The sequence below is a fragment of the Homo sapiens genome, chromosome 16 (genome assembly GCF_000001405.40).
Source record: "Homo sapiens chromosome 16, GRCh38.p14 Primary Assembly".
Classification (NCBI taxonomy): domain Eukaryota; kingdom Metazoa; phylum Chordata; class Mammalia; order Primates; family Hominidae; genus Homo; species Homo sapiens.
In genome coordinates this window covers 23143088-23157838 of record NC_000016.10, presented here as the reverse complement: position 1 = coordinate 23157838, position 14751 = coordinate 23143088, and the positions used below count along the sequence as shown (strand labels likewise).

The following is a 14751-nucleotide window of genomic DNA, read 5'->3' as shown; positions in this document are numbered from 1 at the left end:
TTTTTTTTTTTAATTAGCCGCCACACCTGACTAATTTTTTCAAATCTCTTTTTCTTGTTTTGTTTTGTTTTGTTTTGTTTTTGCCTGCCAGGCATGGTGGCTCATGCCTGTAATCCCAGCACTTTGGGAAGCGGAGGTGGGAGGATCACTTGAGCTCAGGAGTTCGAGACCAGCCTGGCACCATGGCAAAATCCTGTCTCTACAAAAGAATACAAAAAATTAGCAGGGTGTGGTGACATGCACCTATAGTTCCAGCTACTCAGGAAGCTTAGGTGGGAGGATTGCTTGAGCCTGGGAGGTAGAGGCTGCAGTGAGCCGTGATTGTGCCACTGCACTCCAGCCTGGGTGAAAGAGCAAGACCCTGTCTCAAAAAAAAAAAAAAATTTAGAAATGGGGGTTTTACCATGTTGCCCAGGGTGGTCTCAAACTCCTGGAACGAGGTCTTACATTTTCTGATCCTTTGCCTGTCTCCTCCACCTCATCTTTGGCCATTTCCTGCTTTGCTCAGTTCATGGCAGCCACTCTGATCTGCTTGTTCTTCTTGGTACAGGCCAGACTTATTTCCAACTTGGGCCTTTTGCAGTTCCTCTTTCCTCTGTCTGGATGGTCCCCAGATTTCCATAGGTGCTTGTTGCCACACCTCATTCAGTTCCCTGCTCAAATATCCTTCCTCAGAGAGGCTATCTTCAACATTCTACATAACACACTCTCTGCCCACCACTTCCTGTCTCTTTTCTTGGTTTTGTTTTTCTTCCAAGCAATTAACAGTAGCTGAAATTTTATTACACACAGTATTTGTGTGTTTGCTTATTTTCTGTTGTCTTCCCCTAGCATGGAAAATACTTTGTATTTTCACTGTGACACCCCCAAAATCTATTTTTTTTTTTTTGAGATAGGATCTTGCTCTGTCGCCTAGGCTGGAGTGCAGCCGCGCAATCACAGCTCACTGCAACCTGTAACTCCCGGCCTCAAGTGGATCCTCCCGCCTCCGCCTCCCAAAGTGCTGGGATTACAAGCCTGAGCCATTGCGTCCAGCCTGTCCCCAGCTTTGTCTCCCACTATGGAAGCTGGAGGAAGGTGATGGTTCCTTCCCTACTTTCCAGCTGCTGGTGACCAGACCTAGGACCTAGGGCCCAACCAAATGGATGCTTCCATTTTGAGCTAAGAATGCTGAAGGTATTATATTGGTCCATTTTGCATTGTTATAAAGGAATACCCAAAACTGGGTAATTTACAAAGAAAAGAGTTTCTTTTGGCTCATGGTTCTGCAGGCTGTACAAGAAGCACCGTGCCAGTCTGATGCTTCCACTTATGGCAGAAGGTGAAAGGGACTCAGCTGTGTCACATGGCAAGAAAGGGAGCAAGAAGGAAGGGAGGAGGTGCCAGGCTCTTTTTAACAATTGGATCTCCTGTGAACCAACAGAGTGAGAACTCACTCATTACTTCGAGGACTACACCAAGCCATTCATGAGGGATCTGCTCCCGTGACTCAAACACCTCCCACTAGGACCCGCCTTCAACATCAGGGACCCTTTCCTCCCCTCTCCTCTCCCTCCTCCCCTATTTCTCCTTTCCTGGATCTCTTTTCTTTTCTTTTCTTTTTTCTTTTCTTTTCCCTTCCTTTCCCTTTCCTTCCCTTCCCTTCCCTTCCCTTCCCTTCCCTTCCCTTCCCTTCTCTTCTCTTTTCCCTCCCTTCCCCTCCCCTCCCCTCCCCTCCCCTTCCCTTCCATTCCCTTCCTTTCCCTTCCTGTCTTCCCTTCCCTTCTCGACTCTTCTATTCTCTTCTTTTTTGAGACAGGGTCTTGCTCTTGTCACCCAGGCTGGAGTGCAGCAGCATGATCACGGTTCACTGCAGCCTTGACTACCTGAGCTCAGGTGATTCTCCCACCTCAGCCTCCCAAGTAGCTGTGCCTACAGGTGTGCACCACCATGCCTGGCTATTTTTTTTATTTTTTTGTACAGATGGGATCCCTCTATGTTGCCCAGGCTGGTCTTAAATCTCTGGGCTCAAGCAATCTTCCCGCCTTTGGCCTCCAAAGTGTTGGGATTACAGGTGTCTGCCACTGCACCCAGCCAGGGATCACATTTCAACATAAGATTTGGAGGGGAAAAATATCTAAACTCTATCAGATAGGAAAGCAAAAGTTCAGAGACATTTGGAAGTTATTCAAGGTTACACAGTGGCTACAGCAGAACTAAGAGGCAAGTGGTGCGGCTACCACTGTCTGAAGGTGGCGCCAGCTTCACCGACGGCGCCAACAGTGACATCTTAAGCAGCATTTTCTGGAGCAGAGTCCTGGCTATGTACTGTCTTCCTTGGTTTCCTAAGTCTGATTCTGAAGCTTTTCTAGCAGTTATGTGAGCTGTTGATATCCTTCTAAAGATCTCCTTTTCTGCTTAAGTTAGCAAAAGTCATTTATGTTGTCTGCAACTAAGAACTTACGATGGGTATACAGGTCAAAGGAGAAAAATGCAAAGGCTCATCTCTGTTGATGCCCAGAAGGCATTTGATAAAATTCAAGACCAATTCCTGATAATAACCCTTCCTGAAGTAGGAATACATGGATACCACTTTAACGCAATAAATAATATATATCTCAAACCAAAAGCAAGCATGCTTAATGGTAAAGCACTGGATGAAATGCTATTAAAGGCAGAAACAATGCAGGCTTTCCTACTCTCCTTACTATTACAGACAAAATTCTGGAAGGGCAATTAGACAAGAGAAAAAAAAAGATGAGGTACAACTATTATAAACAAAGTGGCGAGGTTTTTATCTCATGTGTTGATATAAATTCCTGAGAAACCCAATAGGATCAACTGAAAATTATGAGAAAGAACTAAAGTACATCAAGGTGGCTGGTTACAAAAATATTTTTTTTCCTGTAGACAAACAACAGAAAATATAATGACATAAAATATCCCATTCATAATAGCAACCAATAGGAATAAACTTATTAGTATTATGCAAGACCTATGGGAGGAAACTATAGTACTGGGAGGGGCATTAAAAGCCCTTGTATAATTTTTTGAAGACAGACTTTATTCTCAGATGAGAAGATAAATATTGTGGTGATGCCAGTTTTCCCTCACTTAATCTATATAAATTAACCCCCCTAAAGGATTAAATTCATTTGAGAGAATAAGCAAACAGACAGATAATAAAATACTAGGAGATAATGCTCTATCAAACATTTCAGCATATTCTAAACCTATGCTATCCTGGAATACAGAGGCTTATCAATGGGATAGAACAGAATTTTTAAAAATCTTAAATATACGGGGCATTTAATAGGTGATAAAAGCAGCATTTTAAAGTAGTGGGAAAATTACATTTAAAAATGGTGCTGAGACAATTGGCTAGCCATGAAGCATGCAGAAAAGGCAAGATCCCTATCTCATTTCTCATGCAAAAATAAATTCCAGATGGAGAGCATAATAATAAGAAAAAAACCCAGAACTGCACTAAATTAAAATACAGATGAATATTCTTATGATCTTGGAGTGGGGGAAGGCTAAGTATGTCAAAAATATTGTAAATCTTTATGAAAAAGACTAATCTGTTTCACTATATAAAATAATTTAGGCTGGGCTTAGTGGCTTACACCTGTAATCCTAGCACTTTGGGAGGCTGAGGCGGGTGGATGGCTTGGGTGGGTGGATGGCTTGACCCTAGGAGTTTGCGACCAGCCTAGATAACGTGATGAAACCCTGTCTCTGCTAAAAATACAAAAAGTTAGCTGGGCGTGGTGGCATGCACCTGTAATCCCAGCTACTGAGGAGGCTGAGGTGGGAGGATCGCTTGAGCCCGGGAAGTCAAGGCTGCAGTGAGCCATGATCACACCACTGCACTCCAGTCTGGATGATGGAGTGAGACCCTGTCTCAAAAATAATAATAAAATAAAAATAATAATTTAAGTTCTGTATATGATATGAAAACACTGTAAACATGGTTGAAAGGGAAGTAGGGAATGGTATAGACTGAAAAATAATATAATTTATATAGAAAATAATTTTATGGACCAGGTGTAGTGGCTCATGCCTGTAATCCCAGCACTTTGGGAGGCCAAGGCAGACGGATCATTTGAGGTCATGAGCTCAAGACCAGCCTGGCCAACATGGTGAAACCCTGTCTCTATTAAAAATACAAAAATTTGGCTGGGCGCAGTGTCTCACGACTGTAATCCAGCACTTTGGGAGGCCGAGGCGGGCGGATCACGAGGTTAAGAGATCGAGACTATCCTGGCCAACATGGTGAAACCCCGTCTCTACTAAAAATACAAAAATTAGCTGGGTGTGGTGGTGCGTGCCTGTAGTCCCAGCTACTTGGGAGGCTGAGGCAGGAGAGTCGCTTGAACCCGGGAGGCAGAGGTTGCAGTGAGCTGAGATCGTGCCACTGCACTCCAGCCTGGCGACAGAGCAAGACTCTGTCTCAAAATAATAATAATAATAATAATAATAGTACAAAATCAGCTGGGCGTGGTGGTACATGCCTGTAATCCCAGCTACTTGGGAGGCTGAGGCACGACAATGGCCTGAACCCAAGAGGCAGAGGTTGCAGTGAGCTGAGATCATGTCACTGCACTCTAGCCTGGGCGATGGAGTGAGACTCCATCTCAAAAACAAAACAAACAAACAAAAAACTTCTACGAGATAATATCTATAAAGGAATACACCGAAAAGAATAATGGGCAAATGGTGTGTGCAGGTGAATCACACCAGTAAAAATAAAATCGCTAATTAAAAGGTATTCCTAGTTGTTTTCTTGATTGCAAACAGCAGAAACTGACACTGGTTTGTTTCCCCAATAAAGGATTTACAGGAAACCTATCAGGTTAGCTCACAGAAAGAACAGAGCCAGAGAAACAGGCTTGGGCAGAAACCCAGGGACACAGACACCAGTAAGAACTTGCCACTAGAGTAGCAGCTGGACACTTGCTGCTACCACCCCCACACTGTACACCACCGTACTGCCACACTGCTAAATATATAGCTGCTAGATTCATTAATTCACTGCATTATCTCCAACGAACCGTGTATCAATACTTCTAGAGCCAAAGTCTAGGTAGGAACATATAGTTGGTCTTGCTCTGTCACCCAGGCTGGAGGGCAGTGGCACGATCATAGCTCATTGCAGCCTCCACCTCCTAGGCTCAAGTAATCCTTCCGCCTCAGCCTCCTGAGTAGCTGGGACTACAGAAGTGCACCACCACACCAGGCTTATTTATTTATTTTTTTAGAGACGGGATCTCGTGATGTTGCCCAGCCTGGTCTCAAACTCTTCCCGTCTCTGTCTGCCTGTGCTGAGATTACAGGCATGAGCCACTGCACCCGGCGGTGGTCTTTTTTAGGTCATGTTCCTGGGCTCTAGCTTCCAGGGGTAGGAAGGGGAATACCTGCTCCCTGCCACCCTACCCAGTTTTCATAGTGGGATCTTGAGTGGTCCTGCCTAATTTGGTATCCCTTGCAGACAGGAAGTTGGTTGAGATGTTGGATAGCAGAGAGACTGGCACATGATGTTCAACCTTACTCATACAAACAAAAAGTGCATTAATATGCCATCTTTTGTTCATCAAACTTGTCAATGTGAAAAAGACTGGAAAACTCAACAGTATGTTGGGATTGGGAAATGTGCATTTCCCATTAGTTGCTGACAGGATAAAACCTTTCTGGGGGTCAGCTTGACAATAGGTGTCATATATGGAATACGCATACCCTTTGATCCAAGGTTTCAGCCTAAGGAGATAGCTACATGATGGACAAGGTATAGGTCATGATAATATTCACTGCACTGTTGTTTCTAATTTACGTTTCCCGAGCTTAGGGGTAAGGGGTGGTACAGAGAGGGACAATGAAAGATTCACTACAGAATGTTCAAGGTGAGTCTTTAAGAATGATCATCTGAACATTCCAATGAGGAATTTTTTCAAGCCTGTGTCAAACTTTGAGGCTCAGTGGAGACCTATAAGACCTGTAAGCTTAGTGAGAGGGGCCCAGACTGGGAAGGCAGTTCTTAGGTATCCCACCAAGAAGTTCAGATATTGTTTAGAGGCCGGGCGCGGTGCCTCATGCCTGTAATCCCAGCACTTCGGGAGGCTGAGACAGGTGGATCACTTGAGGTCAGGAGTTCGAGACCAGCCTGGCCAACATGGTGAAACCCCGTCTCTACTAAAAATACAAAAATTAGGGCAACACGCTCGGGTCCCCTTCTACGCTGTGGAAGCTTTATTCTTTTGCTCTTCACAATAAATCTTGCTGCTGCTCACAAAACAAAACAAAACAAAAAACAAAAAACAAAAATTAGCCAGGTGTGCTGGCAAGTGCCTGTAATCCCAGCTACTCAGGAGTCTGAGGCAGGAGAATTGCTTGAACCCAGGAGATGGGGGTTGCAGGTGAGCTGAGATCCCGCCACTGCACTCCAGCCTGGTTGTTAGAGTGAGACTCCATCACACACACATACACACACACACACACACACACACACACACACACACACACGACATTGTTTAGGTATAAAGTTGCCAAATAATCAACCTGTTATATAATGGCTACCTTACTGGGTACCGAATAATGAGTAAGATGGGTCTCTACTGGGTTGAAGCCCACATATTAGTGAAGGTGATGATTGTAAACTGAATTGCAATATGGTCAAGTCAGTGTCATGAATGAGAGGTGCCAAGAGGGCCTGTGGAAGGGACATCTCCTGGAGGGGGTGATATCTAAGGTGGGACTTTAAGGATGAGGGGAAGTTAGCTAAGTAGAAAGGTTCTAAGTTAGCTAAGGAAAGGTTCAAGGGAGAGGGAACGGCTCCAGCAAAGGCCCTCGAGTCTAGATCAAACTGCCCAGAAGTTGAGGGCCATTGCATTCACATTTTAGTGTGAATAATCAGATGGCTTTCTTCCTGGTGTCCAGATAAGAATTTTGACTAAGAGGAGAGTGGAGCCGATTAGGGACAGTGCAGAGCACCCTGGAGATGTCATCATAGAGCCCTACTTACATTGGGGAGGGAGGTCAAAGGTAAAAACCATTTACTTTGAAACGTGGTGTAAGGTGGCCTTCATGTTTTAAAAAGGAGGAAGGGCTCTCCCTTCTCTGATTTCTCTCTTCTGCCTCAGGACTCAGACTAGCCCTTTTAGCAGAGGGGAGCCTATAGAGAGGAGGTCATATACTAGTTGATTTTGGACTAAAGGCATCCCAAAGATGTACTATTTTTTGCTCCCTGCACTATTTTTTTTTTAATGGAACCAACGTTTAAAAATAGGATTTCTGCCTTCTCTTAAAACATCAGATGATCTGGTAACGCTGAGCTCCTGTTCTCACATGGGAACAACTGGCTGGAGCTGAGTGGCAGCCACCTCTTTAGAAAGATGTTAATTTGAAGTCTGCTATAGTCCCCATCATTCCTTATATTTCCCCCAACACTGAGACCCAAGTCACTTGAAAGTCAATATGATGATTCAAACACCAGGATTCTTCACTCATTTGTGGGTTTGTGACCTGTGATATTTGTGGATTCGTGACCTTTGGTTTAGAGGTCAAGTATAGGGGTTGTAAATAAAACTTGGGTTTGAATCAGATAAGAACTGTACCAATCTCAAAGACGGTGAATTAAAGATTAAAGAAAATATTGCATGCTTGGCATAATGTGTGGAACACAACAGCTATTGTAAACACCCAGTAGGAATGTAAGCTGCAAGAGGGCAGGTAGAAACCGTGCTAATTTAATCCGCTGGGGATATGACATTTGATTCTAATTTAATAGGTTTAATTCTTTGCAATATCCCCAGTAACTGCTGAATGAATGAGTGAGTGAATGAATGAATGGAATGATGAATGATGGGAGAGCCCGGAGGAGTTTTAAAGGCTGGAATGAAAAGGAAAGTAGTTATGATAACAGCGTTTCGCTGGGACTCCAAGGTGCAGCCAGGAAGAAAAGCCCGCTGGGACGTGCCAGGGTCTGTGACTGCGCTCCGCTGGCACCCAGAGGGTAGGTATCTGCAACGTCCCTTGGGAGCCAGACAGGGCTGACTTGCCCAGGACCTGTCAGGGCCATGTCCACCAGCTCTTGCACGGTCTGGTAACTGACAGCATCCTGATTCCTGCACGTTCCCGCCTCTGCCATCTGACCAGCAAAGACAGAGACCCACCCCGGGGATCCACCATCCAACGGGAGCCCAGCCTTTTCCTCCAAGCCGGGACGGCGCCCACACTAGACATGGCCTCCCTCGGGCTTCACGCAGCAGGACCGCGCCCGCAGCCTCCAGGCATCGCGTCCGGCTGGAGAGGCAGCTACCGTCCCACAGTGAACATGGCGGCCGAGGCGGCTTCAGCGCCGGGCGGGCGGCGCCGGGAGGCACGTCACGTGAGCGGCTCAGCTGGGCGGACCGCGCGCGCGCCCGCTGGCCCCGCCGGCCGCCGCTCGCTCGCTGGCTCGGCTGCGCTTTGAGGTGTGTGGGGCGTCGAGCCCCCGGGCCCGGTGAGGCGCGGCGCTGCGGGATGCGGCGGCGGCCGTGGCGGGGCCGCGGGCCGGGCGGGCGGGCGCGGTGATGAGTGTCTGCGGCCGCCGCCATGTCCAAGGTAACGGCGCCTGGGTCCGGGCCGCCGGCGGCGGCGAGCGGGAAGGAGAAGCGCTCCTTCAGCAAGCGGCTGTTTCGGAGCGGCCGCGCTGGCGGCGGCGGCGCGGGGGGCCCCGGGGCGTCCGGGCCGGCCGCGCCTTCCTCGCCCTCCTCGCCCTCCTCTGCACGCTCGGTGGGCAGCTTCATGAGCCGCGTTCTCAAGACGCTGTCCACGCTCTCGCACCTTAGCTCTGAGGGCGCCGCCCCAGACCGCGGCGGCCTCCGCAGCTGCTTCCCGCCCGGGCCGGCCGCCGCGCCCACGCCGCCGCCGTGCCCGCCGCCGCCCGCCTCTCCCGCGCCGCCCGCTTGCGCCGCCGAGCCGGTGCCCGGCGTGGCGGGGCTCCGCAACCACGGCAACACGTGCTTCATGAACGCCACGCTGCAGTGCCTCAGCAACACCGAGCTCTTCGCCGAGTACCTGGCGCTGGGCCAGTACCGGGCGGGGCGGCCCGAGCCCTCGCCTGACCCGGAGCAGCCTGCGGGCCGCGGCGCGCAGGGCCAGGGCGAGGTCACTGAGCAGCTGGCGCACCTGGTGCGGGCCCTCTGGACCCTGGAGTACACCCCGCAGCACAGCCGCGACTTCAAGGTGAGCCCGCGCGCCGCCGCGCCCCCACTGCACCCCGAGCCCCTGGGGCACCTGCCCGCCCAGGTCTTCCTTCCCTCGGTTCCTCTTGGCCCGGCAGGCTTCTGCATTGGTTGCTCCGAGTGGTCTGGGCAGTCGACCAGTGATTTTAAGGAGATTCATTCATTCATTCATTTATTCACTCACTCACTCACTCAAACATGTATTTATTGAGAACTTACTACATACGTGCCCATACTCTGTGATAATAGGCAATGGGAGTGACGTTGCAATGAACAAGACTATCCGCCTTCATGGAACTTGCATTTTTGTGGGGTGGGAGTGTTGAGCATGGGTTCAAATCCTGGTTCTGCCACTTACTAGCAATGTGACGTCGGGTAAGTTAAGCAGCCTCTCTGTTCTTACAGTTTCTTCATCTGGGGGACCTACTTTGTAAGGTGGTTGTGAGCTGCAAACAAGTTAATATATTAAATCGAACACTGTGGAATTACCCATATTTAACCGTTTTTTATTTACAGATTGGCACTTTTATAGGGTTCAACCTGATAAGTAAAATACTTCCATATCATGTGTATTTGCTGCTATTATTTTTGTTATTAAAGACTTGAAGAAGTTAACGAGATAATATCAGATAGTGGTTTGAAGAAAGAAAAACCTGCTGCTGTGATTGATGTGCTGACAGGCTACTTTTTATTTTTATTTTATTTTTAGAGACAGGGTCTTGCTCTGTTGCCCAGGCTGGAGTGCAGTGCTCACATAGCCTCAAACTCCTGGGCTCAAGCAATCCTCCCGCCTCACCTTCCAGAGTATTTAATAGCTGGGACTACAGACACACACCACCATACCTACCTATTTTTTATTTTTAAAACACTTTTGTAGAGACGGGGGTTTTGCTGTGTTGCCCAGACTGGTCTTGAACTCTTGTCCTCAAGCCACTCTCCCCGCTTTGGCCTCCCAAAGTGCTGGGATTACAGGGGTGAGCTATACATCCCTGGGGGTATGTATGGCCCTTGGCCAAGCCCTCCTTTGCTGTTTGCTGGTGGGGCTGCAAGTGTAGTGAGAGGGTGAGATTTGAGAGCCGAGTGGTGGGCTGGGACCGGATGGTATGGGACCATTTAGGATGCACTAAGAAATTGGGCGGTTACTCTAAGCAGAAGGGGAACATGATGTGAGATTGTGTAAGGGATACTTTCAGGTGGGACATGAATATGGTATTAAACAGCATGGAATCGGGCGGGGCGCAGTGGCTCATGCCTGTAATCCTAGCACTTTGGGAGGCCAAGGCGGGTGGATCACCTGAGGTCCGGGGGTTCGAGACCAGCCTGACCAACATGGAGAAACCCCATCTCTACTAAAAATACAAAATTAGACGGGCGTGGTGGTTCATGCCTGTTATCCTGGCTACTCAGGAGGCTGAGGCAGGAGAATTGCTTGAACCTGGGAGGCGGACGTTGCAGTGAGCCGAGATCGTGCCATTGCACTCCAGCCTGGGCAACAGGAAACTCTATCTGTAAAAACAAAACAAAACAAAAACAGCGTGAAGTCACACAGGGAGAAGGTTAATTCCTTTTTTTTTTTCCTATCCTAATCTTGCCCAGGACGAAGTCTCAGCTTGATGTTAGCCTGTTTTTAATACCTCTTGTTCACCCCCCACCCATTTTTTTTTTTTTTTTTAAACAGAACAAGCTTCAAGTCTAGAAGCATTGGCAGGTAACAGTAGCTAGAATTTAATAAGGTTATGTTTTTATTGGGTTTCCATTTGTCTTCAATTCATGGCAAAAGGTACTGGTTTCCCATTGGTGCTATAAAGCTTCTTTATAACAACATTTAAGTAAAAGGAGATGATTTTGTTAAAATATGAAAAGGTCATCTAGCTGAGGATCTGCTTTGTTAAGGTCCTGCTTTCTTGCTGACGAACTACATGGCCAGTGTGCATCTCTCCCCGTTTAATACTTTTTACTTACATCTTATGCTGCTCAATGCTGTTTTTCTTGGAAAAAAATCGTTGCTGTTTGATCTTGGCAATTTGAATGGAAGTACTTGACTGAGATAGGGACTGGAAAAAAAGATCTATGTCAGTGATCTCAAAATTATTATTATTATTATTATTTTTGAGATGGAGTCTCACTCTGTCGCCCAGGCTGGAGGGCAGTGGCCTGATCTCGGCCCACTGCAACCTCTGCCTCCTGTGTTCAATCAAGCAATTCTCCTGTCTCAGCCTCCCAGGTAGCTGGGACTACAGGCGCCCGCTACATGCCCAGTTAATTTTTGATCCACCTGCCTCGGCCTCCCCAAGTGCTGAGATTACAGGCGTGAGCCACCGTGCCCAGCTGAGATCTCAAAATTAGAAAGGGAGAATGATCAGGAGAACTGACTACTGTAGGTCCACCCCCCGCCCCCCACCCCACACTGCCCCTCTTTGCTTACAATTGCCTGTAAGTAGCCACAGCATTTGTAAACTTTTCGAGGTCAGAGCCTAGTATTTAAGTTTGGTTTTCTCCTCTTTTCCAAAATGTGAAAATCAGTTTCTACAGCATCTTTGTATGTGAACATTTCCATTGCTTTTTATGAGTTTGTGTTCACTTTTTTATCCATTAAGCTGTGAACAGAAATGGGTCAATAATTCTAGAAGTACAGAGACTGATTTATAGGCATGCTTTGGCAGACATGAACAGATTCTTAGAGGCCTGGCTTTTTAAAAGTAATCTCCTGAACCTTTAGTAGGTTTCACTCTACATTCATTCATTCACCTCCCATTTATTGAAGGCTTACTTAATCAGTTAGGAATGCCTTCAGCCCAAGAAAGGAAAATCCCTAATGATAGTGCCTTAAGCAATGAAAACGTTGCAATTGGCAATTGGCACACACAGTGATTCCGGAGGTGGATGGTTCTATGGTTCAGTGGCTCGTTGGGCCCAACAAGGATTCAGACCATTTCTGTATTTCCACCTGTTGTCTTTTTAGCTATCATTGGCTTTTTGTTCTTAGGTTTGTCACCTCATGGTTGTCCAGTGATGGCAGCCACTGCACCTGGCATTCTACCCAGGACGGCAGGAAGTCATTAGGGAAATAAAAATTCTTCCAGAAGCCCCCTCAGCAGGCTTCTGCTGATATTTCATTGGCTATAACCATGTCAATTGGCTGTCACGGAGGCTGGAGGGTGGGCATTTGGGTTTTCCTGTCTTCACAGAGGAGATGAGTAAAGGAGGGGTTTACCTCCCAGGGAGCTATGAAGAGCTGAGTCGAGTAGGATCTAGGAAGTTCCCTGAGACAGCGCTTCTCATGCGTCAGTGTGCACATAATTCACCTGGGGATCTTGCTACAAAGGAAATTGAGATTCGGTAGAGCTGGAGCGGTGCCCAAGATTCTGCATTTCTAACAAGCTCCCTGGTGATGCCAGTGCTTTTGGCTCAAGGACCATCCTGTGTATAGCAGGCATCAAGGAACAAGGAAAGCATTACCAAAAAGGTGGCTCCTGAGCAGTGTTCTGAAAGATGAATAGAAATTTGCAGGGCAAGGAAGTGGTGGAGTTGCATGAAAGGGCGTGTGGTTTTGGGGAATAGACATTTAGTGGCTGGCTGCACCATAGAGAGCAGTGGGGGTGCAGGAAGCCTGGGAGAAGAGTGTTGGAAACTCACTGTGAAGGGCTTCGTGAGCTATGCTGGTTTGGATTTCATCCTCTGCAAGTTGAAAATCCAGAGGTGATTTTTAAGCAAGGAAGTGATATAATTAGATTCTTTTCCCCTTTTTATTCCCCCGGTTAGGTAACTCTGGCAAATTGATTACTTTTTAAAAAAAGGTTTTATTTTAGCTAAATTTGATGGGTATTATTTTGAATATAAAGAAAGTTGAATGCTAAGGCAGGACGCAGTGGCTCATGTCTGTAATCCCGGCACTTTGGGAGGCCAAGGTGGGTGGATCACTTGAGACCAATAGTTCCAGACCAGCCTGGACAACATGGTGAAACCCCATCTCTACTAAAAAAATACAAAAAGTAGCCGAGCGTGGTGGCACACACCTGTAATCCCAGCTACTCGGGAGGCTGAGGCACGAGAATCTCTTGAACCCAGGAGGTGGAGGTTGCAGTGAGCAGAGATCATGTCACTGCGCTCCAGCCTGGGTGACAGAGTGAGACTCTGCCTCAAAAAAAGGAAAAAAAAAAAAGAAAGGTAAACACCAGAAGGTGGACCTGAGGCATACCTCACTGTGCTTCGCCTGCTTGGGGTGGACATCGTTATTTCATTCAGATATTCTTCACTTTCACATCGCTCACATTCAGCCTTAGAATCCTGCTCAGTTCTAGAAGGGCTCCAGGCAGCCACCACCACCTAGTTGAAGTTGGCAGAGGAGATAAAACCAATTTGCCATCTTGAGATAGTTACCTTGAGGTTAGAAAAGCACTTACTATGTCTTTGTGCTTTTATTATCTTAAAACTTTAAGTTACTAATGCTTTTCTTTGTAAGTTTTTCAATTAGAGTTCTTTCTTCCTTTTTAACCACATTGATTTGAGTTTTAGGAGCTTGCCAAGTAGATGGTTTTTGGTTTTGGATGGGCTAGATGGTTGTTAAAGTTGGGTTTTCATTTCCCAGGATGAAATGAGTTGACTAGCTCAACCTTGATATGCTGTAAAAAATGTCTCTAGCCATTACCTTTATCCTTTCTCTTTTCACACAGATTTTTTGTTTGTTTGTTTCCTACTCTTAGAGCACTGGTTTTCAACACGGGCACTTTTGCCTGTCCTCACCCCACCCTGCCCCCACCCCCTGGGACATTTGTCGATGTCTGGAACCCTACTTGGTTGTCACAGCTGGGATCAGGGTGCTACTGGCATGTGGTGGTAGATTCCAGGGATGCTGCTAAATGTCACACAATGTGCAGGACAGCCCCCCTTACTAAAGGGTTTTCACCCCAAAGTGTCAGTAGTGCTGAGGCTGAGAAACTGTTTGGAGGAAAGTTTGGAGACTCAGCGCAAGTTTCCTTTTACTTCCCCAGCCTTTAAAATGGTTACCTTGTTATCTCTCGCGCTCTCTCTTTCTCTCTCTCTCCCCCCCCCCAACCTCTCCCTCTCTCTTTCTCCTTCTCTGTCTCTGAGTGTGTATATGTGTTTGCAGCAGCACTAGGGTAAAACTTGGGCTTCACTGGCAGGACCCTTGCATCACTTTCCTAGTAAAATAGTGAGAGTAAATAAATCACTTTGAATACATAATATGCCATTTTAAAGGGAATCAGCTTATTGCTTTCATAGGAGCATGGGTGCCCCAGATTCTTACAAATGCTTTCTGAGTTTTAGAGCTCAGAGCCGTTTTGCAGCAAGTAAAAAGATGGATGGTCATCTTTCAAGCAAGAAAGATAAATTTTATGGCAGCAGTTTTTAAATTGTGCTGGCAAAGAACAGCTAGCACAGAGTGATCTATTGATAAAAGAATTGTGGGGACTCCTTCCAGATTTGCAGTGAAACAAATGGTAATTGATGAATAGAATTCTCTCTCCCATTTTTTTTTCCTTGAACTTTGGTGCCTTGTGGTGCTTATTTATTAGTGAGAATTCTCAAG

General features: G+C 46.9%; 1 protein-coding gene across 4 annotated transcripts in view, besides 5 other annotated features; it reads left to right on the top strand.

The window, feature by feature from the left end:
* Positions 7987 to 8206: an enhancer, noted in NCBI's record as "active region_10576". NCBI's record gives its function as "activates an Ori minimal core promoter by ATAC-STARR-seq in GM12878 lymphoblastoid cells {active_cell/tissue: GM12878}" and the evidence as "EXISTENCE:reporter gene assay evidence [ECO:0000049][PMID:35858748]".
* Positions 8387 to 8486: a silencer, noted in NCBI's record as "silent region_7274". NCBI's record gives its function as "represses an Ori minimal core promoter by ATAC-STARR-seq in GM12878 lymphoblastoid cells {active_cell/tissue: GM12878}" and the evidence as "EXISTENCE:reporter gene assay evidence [ECO:0000049][PMID:35858748]".
* The window catches only part of USP31 (ubiquitin specific peptidase 31), an 88047-nt gene continuing 81682 nt past the window's right edge, over positions 8387 to 14751 (top strand). For all 4 annotated transcript variants that reach the window (NR_170599.1, NM_001387221.1, NM_020718.4 and 1 more), the window contains exon 1: positions 8387 to 9201. Coding sequence is in view for 3 of the 4 variants with exons in the window: in NM_001387221.1 (NP_001374150.1) it covers positions 8569 to 9201 (633 nt within the window). In the remaining variant the exon portion in view is untranslated. The remainder of the gene's footprint in view (positions 9202 to 14751) is intronic.
* Positions 8637 to 8686: a silencer, noted in NCBI's record as "silent region_7273". NCBI's record gives its function as "represses an Ori minimal core promoter by ATAC-STARR-seq in GM12878 lymphoblastoid cells {active_cell/tissue: GM12878}" and the evidence as "EXISTENCE:reporter gene assay evidence [ECO:0000049][PMID:35858748]".
* Positions 8787 to 8886: a silencer, noted in NCBI's record as "silent region_7272". NCBI's record gives its function as "represses an Ori minimal core promoter by ATAC-STARR-seq in GM12878 lymphoblastoid cells {active_cell/tissue: GM12878}" and the evidence as "EXISTENCE:reporter gene assay evidence [ECO:0000049][PMID:35858748]".
* Positions 9017 to 9246: a silencer, noted in NCBI's record as "silent region_7271". NCBI's record gives its function as "represses an Ori minimal core promoter by ATAC-STARR-seq in GM12878 lymphoblastoid cells {active_cell/tissue: GM12878}" and the evidence as "EXISTENCE:reporter gene assay evidence [ECO:0000049][PMID:35858748]".